The following is a 12,814-nucleotide window of genomic DNA, read 5'->3' as shown; positions in this document are numbered from 1 at the left end:
TAATCCCCACGTGTCGAAGGAGGGACCTGGTAGGAGGTGACTGGATCATGGGTGCAGTTTCCCCCATGCTGTTCTAGTGATCGTGAGTTTTCATGTGATCTGATGCTTTTAAAAGTGGCAGTTTCCCTTGCTCTCTCTCTCCTGTCACCTTCTGAAGAAGGTGTCTGCTTCCACCATGATTGTAAGTTTCCTAAGGCCTCCCCAGTCATGCAGAACTGTGAGTCAATTAAGCCTCTTTCCTTTATAAATTACCCAGCCTCAGGTATTTCTTTATAGCAGTGTGAAAAAGGACTAATATAGAGAATTGGTACCAGGATAGTGAGGTACTGCTATAAAGATAATCTGAAAATGTCAAAGCAACTTTGGAACTGGGTAACGGGCAGAGGCTGGAACAGTGTGAGGGCTCAGAAGAAGACAGGAAGATGTGGGAAAGTTTGGAAATTCTTAAAGACTTCTTAAATGGTTCTGAACAAAATGCTAATAGTGATATGAACAATGAAGTTCAGGCTGAGGTGGTCTCAAATAGAGATGACGAACTTACTGGGAACTGGAGTAAAGGTCATTCATGCAATGCTTTAGCAAAGAGACTGGTGGCATTTTGCCCCTGCCCTAGAGATCCGTGGAAGCTTGAATTTGAGAGAGATGATTTAGAGTGTCTGGTGAAAGAGATTTCTAAGCACCAAAGCATTCAAGAAGTGACCCGGTTGTTTCTAAAAGTGTATAGTCACATGCATTCATGAAGAGATTATTTGAATTTGGAACTTATATTTAAAAGGGAAGCACAGCATAAAAGTTCAGAAAATTTGCAACCTAACCATGAGGTAGAAAAGAAAAACCTATTTCTTGGGGGGAAATTCAAACCTGCTGCAGAAATTTGTATAAGTAACAAGGAGCCAAATATTAATAGCCAAAACAATGGGAAAAATGTATCCAAGGCATGTCAGAGACATTTGCAGAAGCCCCTCCCATCACAGGCCCAGCGGCCTAGGAGGGAAAAATGGTTTTGTGGGCCTGAGTGGCCCTGCTGCTCTGTGCAGCCTCAAGACATGGTGCCCTGCATCCAGCTGCTCTAGCTCCAGCCATGGCTAAAAGGAGCCAAGGTACAGCTCAAGCCATTGCTTCTGAGGGTGCAAGCCCTAAACCTTGGCAGCTTCCATGTGGTGTTGGGTCTGTGGGTACACAGAAGACAAGAAGAGTTTAGAAGACAAGAGTTTAACCTCCACCTAAATTTCAGAGGATGTATGGAAACACCTGAATGTCCAGGCAGAAGTCTGCTGCAAGGGAGGAGCCCTCATGGAGAACCTTTGCTAGGGCAGTACAGAAGGAAAATGTGGGGTTGAAGGCCCCACACAGTCCCCACTGGGGCACTGCCTACTGGAGTTGTGAGGAGAGAGCCACTGTCCCCCAGGCCCCAGAAAGGTAGATTCACTGACAGCTTGTATTGTACAGCTGGAAAAGCCACAGGCACTCAATGCCAGCCAGTGAAAGCAGCCATAAGGACTGCACCTTTCAGAGCTACAAGGGTAGAGCTGCCCAAGGCCATGGGAGCCTACCCCTTGGATGTGAGATATGGAGTCAAAGGAGATCATTTCAGAGCTTTAAGATTTAGTAACTGCACTGCTGGGTTTCAGACTTGCATGGGGCCTGTGGCCCCTTTGTTTTGGCCAATTTCTCCCATTTGAAACATTTAGCTAATGCCTATAGCCCTACTGTATCTTAGAAGTAACTAACTTGTTTTTTATTTTATAGGCTCATAGGCAAAAGGGACTTGCCTTGTCTCAGATGAGACTTTGGACTTGGACTTTTGGGTTAATGCTGGAATAAGTTAAGACTTTGGGGGACTGTTGGAAAGTCATGATTGGTTTTGAAATGTGAAAAAGACATGAAATTTGGGAGGCGCCAGGAGTGGAATGATATGGTTTGGCTTTATATCCCCACCCAAATCTCATCTTGAATTGTAATCCCCATGTGTCCAGGGAGGAACCCGGTAGGAAGTGATCGGATCATGGGGGCAGTTTCCCCCATGCTGTTCTTGTGATAGTGAGGGAGTTCTCAAAAGATCTGATGGCTTTAAAAGTGGCAGTTTCCCCTGCTTTCTCTCTCTCTCTTTCTCTCTCTCCTGCTGCCTTGTGAAGAAGGTTATCTACTTCCCCTTCACCTTCTGCCATAATTTTAAGTTTCCTGAGGCCTCCCCAGTCATGTGGAACTGTGAGTCAATTAAACCTCTTTCCTTTATAAATTACCCACTCTCAGGTATTTCTTTATAACAATGTGAAAACAGACTAATACAATACCTATCATTATTGACTTCTCAGCTTCTATCATTATCAAAAAGTAAATAATTGATTCATTTTTTAAAGTAAACAAGATTTTAACTCTTGAAATGTATAAGCAAATACATTTCCTCCATAACAGAATACTAATAGTTGTATACTTAGGTCAAAAATAAGTTTTTATAAGCAATGCTCAAAAACCTCAATGGATCAAATATGTTATAAAAATTCAGCAAATTGATAAACCTTGTTATTTGACTATGAGAACAAATTTTAACTCATTTTTAAATTGTGATAAGCCAACTCATTAGTCTGAAAATTAGAAATTAATATATTACATTGATTTATGTCATCTTTAAAGTCACTTTAACTCACTCTCAGTAGCACAGTGTTTTAAGTCAGAAAGCAGTGAAATAAAATTGTCAATTCACTCTTATTTTTCTATTCTCACTGAACTTTTAAAAATTTTTATTATATATTCAGCAGCATTAGAATAAGCAAAGCCAAAGGCATTTTATGGGACTCAAAAGACATAATGACCTCTGCAGACACCAGTTAAACAATAGACAGAAGAATTTGATTCCTACTTCGATGCTAGGTTTAGCAACCATTCACACAGATAATGTCCATGTTTTTCTTTCTTTTCATTTCACCAAGACCTTCACTCCTCAAAGCCTAAAATATATCTAAATCTTGGATTTCTCTTTTTTGCTTCATCTGACAACTTGAAAATTGACTGTTGGACACATAGCCATCAAGTGGTAAAGTGGGTAACTGGAAAAGTTCTAACTTGTTTTACATTTTTCAAACCCTATTATAATAAGAGCAAATAATAATACTAGCTCATATTTATTCAATGCTGGTCTGTGATACAGACTACTAATAAACTTAGTTTGCAAATAAAAACACTCAAGTTTAGGAAAAATATGTGACATACGCAAGGTCTCACAACAGGTAACTTACAAAGCTGGGATTCAAATCCAAGATTGACTAAAACCATGCTATACGTCTTTATTATATACTCTCTTCCACAGAAGAAAATGACCCATTAGTTGCTCTTCTATTTCACAACACAGCTTCCCTGAACATACTGGTGGAAAAAAAAAAAACAGAAATTGGCTATGTTCATTATCAACTTTTTTTTTTAATAACTTTCTTTTAAGACAGGGTCTCACTCTGTTGTCCAGGCTGGAGTGCAATGGCACGAACTCAGCTCACTGCAACCTCCACCTCCCATGCTCAAATGATTCTTGTGCCTCAGCCACCAAATAGCTGGGACTACAGGTGTGCACCACCACACCCAGCTAATTTTTTTATTTTTAGTAGAGGCGGGGTTTTCGCCATGTTGGCCAGGCTGGTCCCAAACTCCTGGCCTTCAGTGATCTGCCCACCTCGACCTTCCAAAGTGTTAGGATTACAGGCATGACTCACTGCACTCAGCCTCATTTATTAATTTATTCAACAAATATTTACTAGCTCCTTAAAACTCTCATTTGAGCTTAAATCCTTTTAAGTATTTTTGAGTATCTGGCATATGCAATGGACTGAATATATCCCCACAAAACCCACATGTTGAAATCTTAACCCCCCAGTGTAATGGTTTTAGGACGTAGGGCCTCTGGGGGGTAATTAGGTCATGAATGTAGAGCCCTCATGAATGGGATTAGTGCTCTTATAAAAGGGATTTCCCAAACCTCTCTCATTCTCTTTCCACCACCTGCAGATACAATGAAAAGACAGCAGTAGTCTTTGACCTAAAAGAGGGCCCTCATCAGAACCCAAACATGTGGGCACCCTGACCTTGGACTTCCAACCTCCAGAATAGTAAGAAATAAATTTCTGTTCTTTATAAGGCACCCAGTCTATAATACTTTGTTACAGCAGCCTGAACAGACTGAGGCAGAAACTGGTGCCAAGAATTAGGGGTGCTGCTGTAACAAATACCTAAAAAGGTTATCTTCATTTATTTTTCACATAACCAAGCAAAATATGTGAAACAGTAAACTCTGACTGTTGAAGCCATTTAATTGTTTTCTATTACACTAACATTCAAGGCATCCTGATACAAACGCTTACCAAAAAGTGCATTTGAAAAGAAAACGAGGAAGTCTAACTAGAATAGCAGTACGCAAAACAAATTTAAAAAATTAAAAAACAGAAGTGTGTCTTCGGTTCAAGAAATCAGCTGCAAAATCACAGAATGATGTAAAACTGGTTTAATAGCAGTTCAAATAACAAAAGAGGTAAGTGTGTTACTAGCAGACTCAAAGTAACCTAACACTAAGACATGGCTGAGAACAATGTATAGCCACTTTAGGTAATATTATTAGAGCTAGGGGCTCAAGACTATGGTGGTAAAATCTTATAAAGCTTAGCCCTTCATCACATTTCTGGAATAAATTAGGTATATGTTGAAAGGGGAGTTGAAAAACAGGATTATCAAAGGAGGCTATCAGAAGGATGAAAGACGTACAGATCATGTCATCTGAGGACAGGACAATGAAATGACAAGTGCACAGTCTGGAAGAGAGCACGATGGCTATTTTCAAGAGGTTTCCTGGACAAGAGGGGCTGGACCTGGTCTTGCCACTTCAGAGAAAGACACTAAAAGCAGCAGTTGGTTGCTATAGAAGGTAGAGTTGGGATTACAAGAAGCAGTTTCTTAATAATCAGAACAACCTAAAAGTCAAATAAGTTATCTCAAGAGAAAGTGAAATTTACTTTCACTGACAGGAAGTAAAGACTGAGTGAGCATCCATCCAGGATATCCTAGAACAGTATTTTCCAGAGAGTAGTTACACCAGAGATTATTTTAACTGGTACATACATTTATTTTATTCATTACTTACTTATCTCAATGTACACTAAAAACAAATAAATGTACATACTAAAGTAGCCATCAACCCCATTGTTTCATGAATATTACTGTTTTAGGATAAATGAAGCAACGACTTTACTTGATTGAAAGAAAAACATTAAGTCAATATATTGAATTTACCTTAACTAGCTATATTATTTTATGATGTCAGTTATCATCCTTGAATTTATATAGATAATAAAAGGCACCAAAGATTTAAGAAAAAGGAAAAAAAAAACTTCTGAAAAGAAAAATATTTTTTAAAAAAGAAAGAAGGAAAAGAAATACATTATAATACAAGTGGTATAAAAAGATGTCAAACATCACAAAAACTAGCCTGGGCAACATAGCGAAACTCCATCTCTACAAAAAAAAACAACAACAAAAAAACACACACACACAAAAATTGGCTGGGCACGGTGGCTCACGCCTATAATCCCAGCACTTTGGGAGGCCAAGGCAGGTGGATCATGTGAGCCCAGGAGTTCAAGACCAGCCTAGCCAACATGGTGAAACCCGTCTCTACTAAAAATACAAAAATTAGCAGGGCACGGTGGCGCACGTCTGTAATCCCAGCTACTCGGGTGGCTAAGACATGAGAATGGCTTGAGCCCATTCCAGAAGGTGGAGGTTGCAGTAAGCCAAGATTGCACCACTGCACTCTAGCCTGGGCAACAGAGTGAGACCCTGACACACACACACACACACACACACACACACACACACACACACACAAATTCACACAGGTTCCACAAAAGTATCTGAATTTTGGACATACTGTTCTGTAGAGATTCGTGCATTGATTATCCTGAAACTAAAATTTCTCCTTTACCAAAATTGTCTTAATATTCAGTAATTCCCTGAAAACATAGTAATTTACAACTACATTTATTCAAATAGCTATCATAATTAAAATAGAAACTAAAATTTTTCATTATTTCAGTAACAATCTTAGAAATCTTGATTGTCAATAGCTACAGCTATAAAACATCTGGACCCCTCACATAACTAATCTTTACCACAAAAGACTGATATTCTTGCATCTAATAAGCATTTATTGAGGGCCTTCTCGGGCCAGGCACTGTGGTGGACAAAAATTTGAAAGTAGATTAGCAAGTTTTCATCTGAAGGATGTACTGCTCCCTTAAGGAAAATCTTAAAACATTTAAGGTAAAAACACAAAAAGAGGATGTCTTTATGTTCACTGAAAATATACATGTATGTTAGTACAACTGAAGCCCAAACTATTTTCTATGCTATACATACACACACACAAAATCTAGACACATGAACCAGATTTAGATATAAAATCCCTTCAGTAAGTTCTGCCTCATACTCAGTATTTTATGCTCTTGCTCCAATATACTCTGAAACACCTCGGGAATCTCACTGAAGCCCCAAAGGCAATCTTGTGATGTCTATGTGAAAAGTCCACCTACCTCTACCTTAAGGCACCATGTGGCAAGCACATTCTTAGAGCACAAAGAAAGTGATGGGCCTCTCAGGAGGAAATGGTGCCAGAGTACACTGCTGGAGGTGTTCTTTCTGCCTAATGAGAAGACTGACCTTTTCTTTTCTTTCCCCACTCCTTAGGCCAAGAGGTACTTTATGTTTGAATAATCAAATAATAAGTGACATCTAGTATGTATAAGAAATGCTAACGTTTAAACTTGTCCCCTGAAGATATTTCTCCATGTGTCCATCCCCAAATGGATTTCAACCAAAGTCGAAGAAAGAAAAATAATCAGCCCAGAAAGATTTCCCTCCTACCTCCTGAGCGTGTTCTTTATAGACTTGCAGTGGCCCTGCAGCTTTGGCAGTGTCCCAGAGCTGCAGCGAGCCATCGCCACTACAGGTGATGAGGACATGTTCGTTGTTCTCACTCCAAGTCACATCAAACAAACCATCATTCCAGTCAAAGCTACACTAGGAAAAAACAAACAACAAAAAAATACAACACTTACATAGGCAGCTACACAACAAAAAAAATAACAATTATGGTTTTTTTTCTTTCAATTTATCACACATTTTAACACGTATATCTCATGTAATCTGCACAACTACGGGAGTTAAGTAGAGTAGGTACTTGACAAATATGGCAACAGATTCAGAAAGGTTAAAAAAAACAGTCCAGTGGAATGTAGTAGTCCAAAAATGTAATAGTACACAGTATACTGCTCCACATTTTTTTATGTTTAAATTTTATAATTTATGAGTGGACACTAAGAGACAGGCTTCAGATTTGTTTTGTTTTTTATTTGAGAGAAAGAGTCTTGTTCTGTCATCCAGGCTGGAGTGTAGTGGCCCAATCACAGCTCACTACAGCCTTGAACTGGACTCAAGCAATCCTCCCACCTCAGCTTCCCAAGTAGCTGGGACTACGGCCTAAAAATTAAAAAAATTTTTAGGCTGGGCCCAGTGGCTCACGCATATAATACCCACTTTGGGAGGCCAAGGTGGGCAGATCACCTGAGGTCAGGAGTTTGAGACCAGCCTGGCCAAAATGATGAAACCCCATCTCTACTAAAAAATACAAAAATTAGCCGGGTGTGGTGGCGGGCACCTATAATCCCAGCTACTTGGGAGGCTGAGGCAGGAGAATCACTTGAACCCAGGAGGGGAAGACTGCACTGAGCCAAGATGGCGCCACTGTACTCCAGCCTGGGTGACAGAGCCAGACTCTGTGCATAAAAAAAAAAAATTTCTTTTAGAGACGGGGTCCTCCTATGTTGCCCACGAGGCTGGTCTTGAACTCCCGGCCTCAAGTGATCCTTCTGCCTCAGACTTGGGAATAGCTGGGACTACAGGTGCGCACCACCACAATCAGCTAAAAATAAGCTTCATCCTATGCAAACGCCAAGGTTCCTTTTATACTGTATATTAAAACATTAATCAAAGAGTCAAAACCTAATTCTATTAAGGCTTTAATAGCAACAATATATACCTTTAATAATTTCAGCCCCCTTACCTTCTAAAAAGCCTTAGCCCAGCTTCATCTGGATCCAATATTAGTAGGGTTCCACAGCCTAAAGAGAAAAAAAATCAAGGTCATCCCTTTGAACCTGCCAGGGTAACATCGAAAGTCAAGGAGTTATCAAGTAATTGATACCTGATTTTAATACCACAAATTTTTCCCCAAAGTATTTGGGACCTTGAATACCAAATGGTCAGGTGATCAATTTCTCCCTAAAGTTTTTGGGACATGAATACCAAATGTGTTCTCTATTTCTGTTTTTCCATATTGTACTTCAGTTACTAAATATTCAACTTCCCATTGCACCTATGATTGGAATTCAGACATGGACCTAACAGGGGGGTGAAATACTTAAGGGCCTACTCTGTAGCCAGACAAGGCACCAGAGACACAAACCTTCCAAGTTGGTGTTATCATTCCTACTGACAGATGAGAAACCTCTGGCTTACAGACCCCAGGGACTGCACTCCTCACCAGTAAATCTAAAACACATCTCACACAGGATTTTAAAACAAAATATGAATGCGGAGATACTTGGTGGGATTTACTACATAACTGGTGGTAATAAAGTGCTGAAAACAGTATTAATATGTTACCTGTCAAAGATTATTTTACCAAAGGGCCATTGTATTTTAAAAGTTATGTTTACTTTTTATAGAGACCAAGGGGGAAAATCTCTTCTATTTAAACATGACTGAATTTTTTTTTTTAAATACCAATTCCCTTTAAAGAGTTTTTGCATAAGATTTTAAGTAGCATTACAGGCCAGTCACAGTGGCTCACGCCTGTAATCCCAGCACTTTGGGAGGCCAAGGCAGGAAGATCGCTTGCACCCAGTTCCGGACCAGCCTGGGCAACATAGTGATACCCTGTCTCTACAAAAATAAAAAATCAAAAATTAGCCAGGTGTGATGGTACATGCCTGTGGTCCCAGCTACTGGTGAGGTTGAGACAGGAGGATCATATGAGCCCAGGAGGTGGAGGCTACGGTGAGCTGTGATTGCACCACTCTACTCAACCTAGGCAACAGGGTGAGACCCTGTCTCTAAAGAGAAAAAGAAAAAAGAAAAAAAGAAAACTACTACCATTATAGACTCATGAGTCTTCAGTCTAACTGGTGGGCCATGTAAATCTGAATGTGCAAGCACTAAGAGCTAATAATGAAAATAAATCAAGTATTTCTCTGAGTTTTAGAAGTAACATTTTTTTCTGCTGTAGGACAAAACAAAAAAATACAATAGACCACTGACATTATGAAATGAGTTTTTGCATCTCGCTTCAGTGCGTATAATAGCTAGGACATGAATTAAGGCAAAAGCGAGAATGAACCTACGCCTTTTCATCTAGTCCACGGACTAGATGGACTCTTTTTTTTGAGACGGAGTTTTGCTCTTCTTGCCCAGGCTGGAGTGCAATGGCACGATCTCGGCTCACCGCAACCTCTGCCTCCTGGGTTCAAACTATTCTCTTACCTCAGCCTCCCGAGTAGCTGGGATTACAGGCATGCGCCACCACGCCCGGCTAATTTTGTATTTTCAGTAGAGATGGGGTTTCTCCATGTTGGTCAGGCTGGTCTGGAACTCCCGAACTCAAGTGATCCGCCCACCTCGGCCTCCCAAAGTGCTGGGATTACAGACGTGAGCCACCGCACGGCGCTTGGCCTTTTTTCTTTTTAAGACGGGGTCTCAGTCTGTCACCCAGGCTGGAGTGGAGTGATGTGATCTCAGCTCACTGGGCTGGGGCAGAGTGATGTGATCTCAGCTCATTGTAGCCTCAACATCCCGGGCTCAAGCGATCCTCCCGCCTCAGCCTCCTGAGCAGCTTTAACCACAGGCTGAGCCAATGCGCGCGACGGGAGACAATTAACTGGAGTCTGTAACACCTACTTGCGAATGTGTGCATTCCTCGTTAGACAACTACAGGTAAGAACTGAACTTGATATATTTCATGGTGTCACCCGTGGGACTCCAGGCGTCCATTCAGGAGCATCGTCCTTAGGAAGGCCAGCCCGCAGGTCGCAGCTCAGTGCTCGAATGCAGACTGGGAATTGTGGGCCAACTCGCGAGCCCTGGGTCGGTTCTGGCTCAGACCGTCTTCCCCGTACTGCTGTGCCGAGCGGACCGATCCAAGGGACCGCGCAGGCTCCCCCGGCTCTCCCTACGGGGACGTGTGCCTGGGCGTGTGACACGTGGCGGAGGCAGCGCGGTCTCAAGGAACAAGGACACGGGCTACTAGGCTACACGTATATGCACTTGCACACAACTGGAAGATCGACTCCTGCTTCAGACCAACTCCTCGCACTCGGCAAAGAAAGGAGAAGCGCCGACCAGCGCCTCTTCTGCCCCCTGGCGTGGACCCGCGGAACCGTCTACGCTCAGAGGGGCTTTCCCTCGAGCGCGAGGAACTGGAGCCCGGCTGGCCCCCGCCTCCGCCTCCGCCCCCCGGCCCCAGCTGCGCGGCGCCGCCTCACCCGCGATGCCGTAGTGCTGCGCGGTGGCGCAGGCCAGGCGGCCCGGCAGGTACGGGGAGAACTCGGCGGCGTAGCCGTGGCGTCCCGGCGTCCGCAGCATCCGCGCCGCTCCACCGCACACCGCACTCATCCCGCCCGCCGCCCCCGGCCCTCGCTGCCCCGGCCGCGGAAGCCGTTCCGAGTCGGAGGCACACTGGCGCGGTTAGAGAGACCAGGCAGACCGGACGGAAGTGTGGGCCCCGTGCCCTGTGTTTGAGATTCTGATTGGTCCGCACAGGAAAGGGCGTTGACTCCGACGGAGACCATTTTTGTTTTGGGTGAATCCAAACTGAATTGCGCCTGCTGCAAAGATACAGATCTATCAGGGGAGTGATCCAGGGTTAGGTATTATTAATAATTACGACAGCTTTTGTCGTTGCATCTCAGCCTCCTCTGCGGTGCTATCTGGTTTTTATTTCATTGAGCGTTTGGAAGACTGGCATCAGGAACTTTTCCTGATGATTATAAAGTGAGAAAAGTTACAGCCGACTCTGAAACCACGCAGCGCGTCCAAAATTGCGTGCTGCGTTGCCCAAGGAAACTGGAAGCAATGAGAACTTAAGTCCGTGGAGTCACTGCGGTCTTTAGGAATAAGAGCGTGGGCTGGTGGGCTACTTTCACACTGTAACTGGAAAAGATGAAACACCAACTCCAAACCAACTCCCCATGCTTGGCAAGTGAGAAAAAGGAGCTGGCCAGTTCTAATGAAGCTAAGCAAAAAAGCAGCACATCATCATATACAACTTTTTTAAAAAGTATTACTATACATGTATATATTGTATGGTAATAAGTGCTCAGATGCTGGTGCTCATTCATTCATTTATTGCCAGGCATATACTATGTGGAGAATGACCAAATATAATTTATCTGCCAAACCAAGATACTTTTGAGAGTAAAGAGGGTGTAATTATTAAGCCAGGTCAACAGGCACAAACCAAGTCGTATGATCATCTTAACCATATACCAAGAACAGTACTAGGCATTTGGGATTCAAAATAATGGGATATGGTCCATGGCCTCAAGAGATTAGAGAAGAAGACTAAAAGAGAAGTCATGTAATTAGTTAAGTGTAATCAAAATACTGTAGAGGCTATGATAAATTTATATGGGGTATTTTTAAAAGGTGATTGTCCGTGCCAGAGGTATGGAAATTGCAGGAAAGGCTGCAGAAGAGAGATAAGTCTTTATGGTGATTGCACACAGATGAGTAGGTTTTCTTTAGGTAGACAAGAAGATGGAGATCTTTGTAGGAGCAGGAATAACATGAGCAACCCAGGAGATTTAAACCAGCATGATCCATAGGGGGTCGTGGCTGCCAGGACTCAGCCTGGCCAGATGGAAGGGATACGGTGAAAAAAATATTGGGTGGGGAGACTGTAGAGTGTTTTACTGGGGCTAGATCATGAAGAGTCTTATATACCATACTAAGAGAATTGGATTTCTACTGTAAACAGTGAAAAACAGTGGAAGTTTTCTAATGTGAGAAATTAAATGACCAAGGTTTTATTTTAAAAAGTCCTGCAACACTAATATGGAGGATAGAGTTTGGAGATGGGGAGGCCAGTTAAAAGACTTTTGCAGGCCGGGCGCGGTGGTTCACACCTGTAATCCCAGCACACTAGGAGGCCGAGGCAGGCGGATCACTTGAGGATCCAGACCAGTGTGGCCTCTATTATTTTGGATTTTTATCATATGTAGTCACTGGAATGTATGCTGCATGAGGGCAGAAATTTTTGCTTGTTATGTTCGCTGTTGTATCCCAAGGACCTGGTATTTAAGCATTCAGGAAATGTTGAGTGAATGCAGCCTAATACAGTGCCTAAATGATCAGTGTGTTTTTCGTAATACTACAAAAAGTAACCTGGAAACATTCTGGAGTTTATTGAAATGCTAAATAGGCGTTAATAAAATATCAAAGTAAGCAAACATGAAGCAGCTGGGACCTTGGCAAAGAGTTGTATATAAAGAGTTATCCAATCTAAGCTAAAAATAGTGTGGTATCTCTGGGAGGGAGAAAGGCTGGTTCCAGCTGGGGTAAACTATTTACAGTGACCTTGGACATACACACACACACACAAACTGAGCTATTACCTGCTCCTTACCTAACCATACATGATTATAGCATTGTAAAATATTTCATCCCACCTGTGAAGCTTTCTAAAATATAAACAACTAAACATATAAAAAATAAACCATACTCT

General features: G+C 42.2%; 1 protein-coding gene across 4 annotated transcripts in view, besides 8 other annotated features; it reads right to left on the bottom strand.

Annotated features, from left to right (window-relative positions):
- The window catches only part of PEX7 (peroxisomal biogenesis factor 7), a 91,343-nt gene extending 80,565 nt beyond the window's left edge, over positions 1-10,778 (bottom strand). For 3 of the 4 annotated variants that reach the window (NM_000288.4, XM_006715502.3, XM_047418874.1), the window contains exons 1-3: positions 10,575-10,778; positions 8,099-8,156; positions 6,901-7,051 (exon numbers count right to left, since the gene is read on the bottom strand). In NM_000288.4, coding sequence (NP_000279.1) covers positions 6,901-7,051; positions 8,099-8,156; positions 10,575-10,704 — 339 coding nt within the window. In that variant the 5' untranslated portion in view covers positions 10,705-10,778. Of the gene's footprint in view, positions 1-6,900; positions 7,052-8,098; positions 8,157-9,990; positions 10,473-10,574 lie in introns of those variants that run through there. The other variant, NM_001410945.1, reaches the window with a different exon arrangement.
- Positions 1,173-1,373: a silencer, noted in NCBI's record as "peak6151 fragment used in MPRA reporter construct". NCBI's record gives its function as "represses an SCP1 promoter by STARR-seq MPRAs in K562 erythroleukemia cells {active_cell/tissue: K562}" and the evidence as "EXISTENCE:reporter gene assay evidence [ECO:0000049][PMID:32103011]".
- Positions 4,832-5,032: a silencer, noted in NCBI's record as "peak6150 fragment used in MPRA reporter construct". NCBI's record gives its function as "represses an SCP1 promoter by STARR-seq MPRAs in K562 erythroleukemia cells {active_cell/tissue: K562}" and the evidence as "EXISTENCE:reporter gene assay evidence [ECO:0000049][PMID:32103011]".
- Positions 9,709-10,441: an enhancer, noted in NCBI's record as "H3K27ac-H3K4me1 hESC enhancer chr6:137144067-137144799 (GRCh37/hg19 assembly coordinates)". NCBI's record gives its function as "activates a minimal SCP1, AML or CMV promoter by ChIP-STARR-seq in naive H9 embryonic stem cells {active_cell/tissue: H9 hESC(naive)}" and the evidence as "EXISTENCE:reporter gene assay evidence [ECO:0000049][PMID:30033119]".
- Positions 10,168-10,327: an enhancer, noted in NCBI's record as "active region_25127". NCBI's record gives its function as "activates an Ori minimal core promoter by ATAC-STARR-seq in GM12878 lymphoblastoid cells {active_cell/tissue: GM12878}" and the evidence as "EXISTENCE:reporter gene assay evidence [ECO:0000049][PMID:35858748]".
- Positions 10,442-11,174: an enhancer, noted in NCBI's record as "H3K27ac-H3K4me1 hESC enhancer chr6:137143334-137144066 (GRCh37/hg19 assembly coordinates)". NCBI's record gives its function as "activates a minimal SCP1, AML or CMV promoter by ChIP-STARR-seq in naive and primed H9 embryonic stem cells {active_cell/tissue: H9 hESC(naive and primed)}" and the evidence as "EXISTENCE:reporter gene assay evidence [ECO:0000049][PMID:30033119]".
- Positions 10,442-11,207: a biological region, named in NCBI's record as "H3K27ac-H3K4me1 hESC enhancer GRCh37_chr6:137143334-137144066".
- Positions 10,498-10,877: a silencer, noted in NCBI's record as "silent region_17576". NCBI's record gives its function as "represses an Ori minimal core promoter by ATAC-STARR-seq in GM12878 lymphoblastoid cells {active_cell/tissue: GM12878}" and the evidence as "EXISTENCE:reporter gene assay evidence [ECO:0000049][PMID:35858748]".
- Positions 11,058-11,207: an enhancer, noted in NCBI's record as "active region_25126". NCBI's record gives its function as "activates an Ori minimal core promoter by ATAC-STARR-seq in GM12878 lymphoblastoid cells {active_cell/tissue: GM12878}" and the evidence as "EXISTENCE:reporter gene assay evidence [ECO:0000049][PMID:35858748]".

The sequence above is a fragment of the Homo sapiens genome, chromosome 6, assembly GCF_000001405.40.
Source record: "Homo sapiens chromosome 6, GRCh38.p14 Primary Assembly".
Lineage (NCBI taxonomy): Eukaryota > Metazoa > Chordata > Mammalia > Primates > Hominidae > Homo > Homo sapiens.
This window is presented reverse-complemented; position numbering and strand designations above follow the sequence as displayed.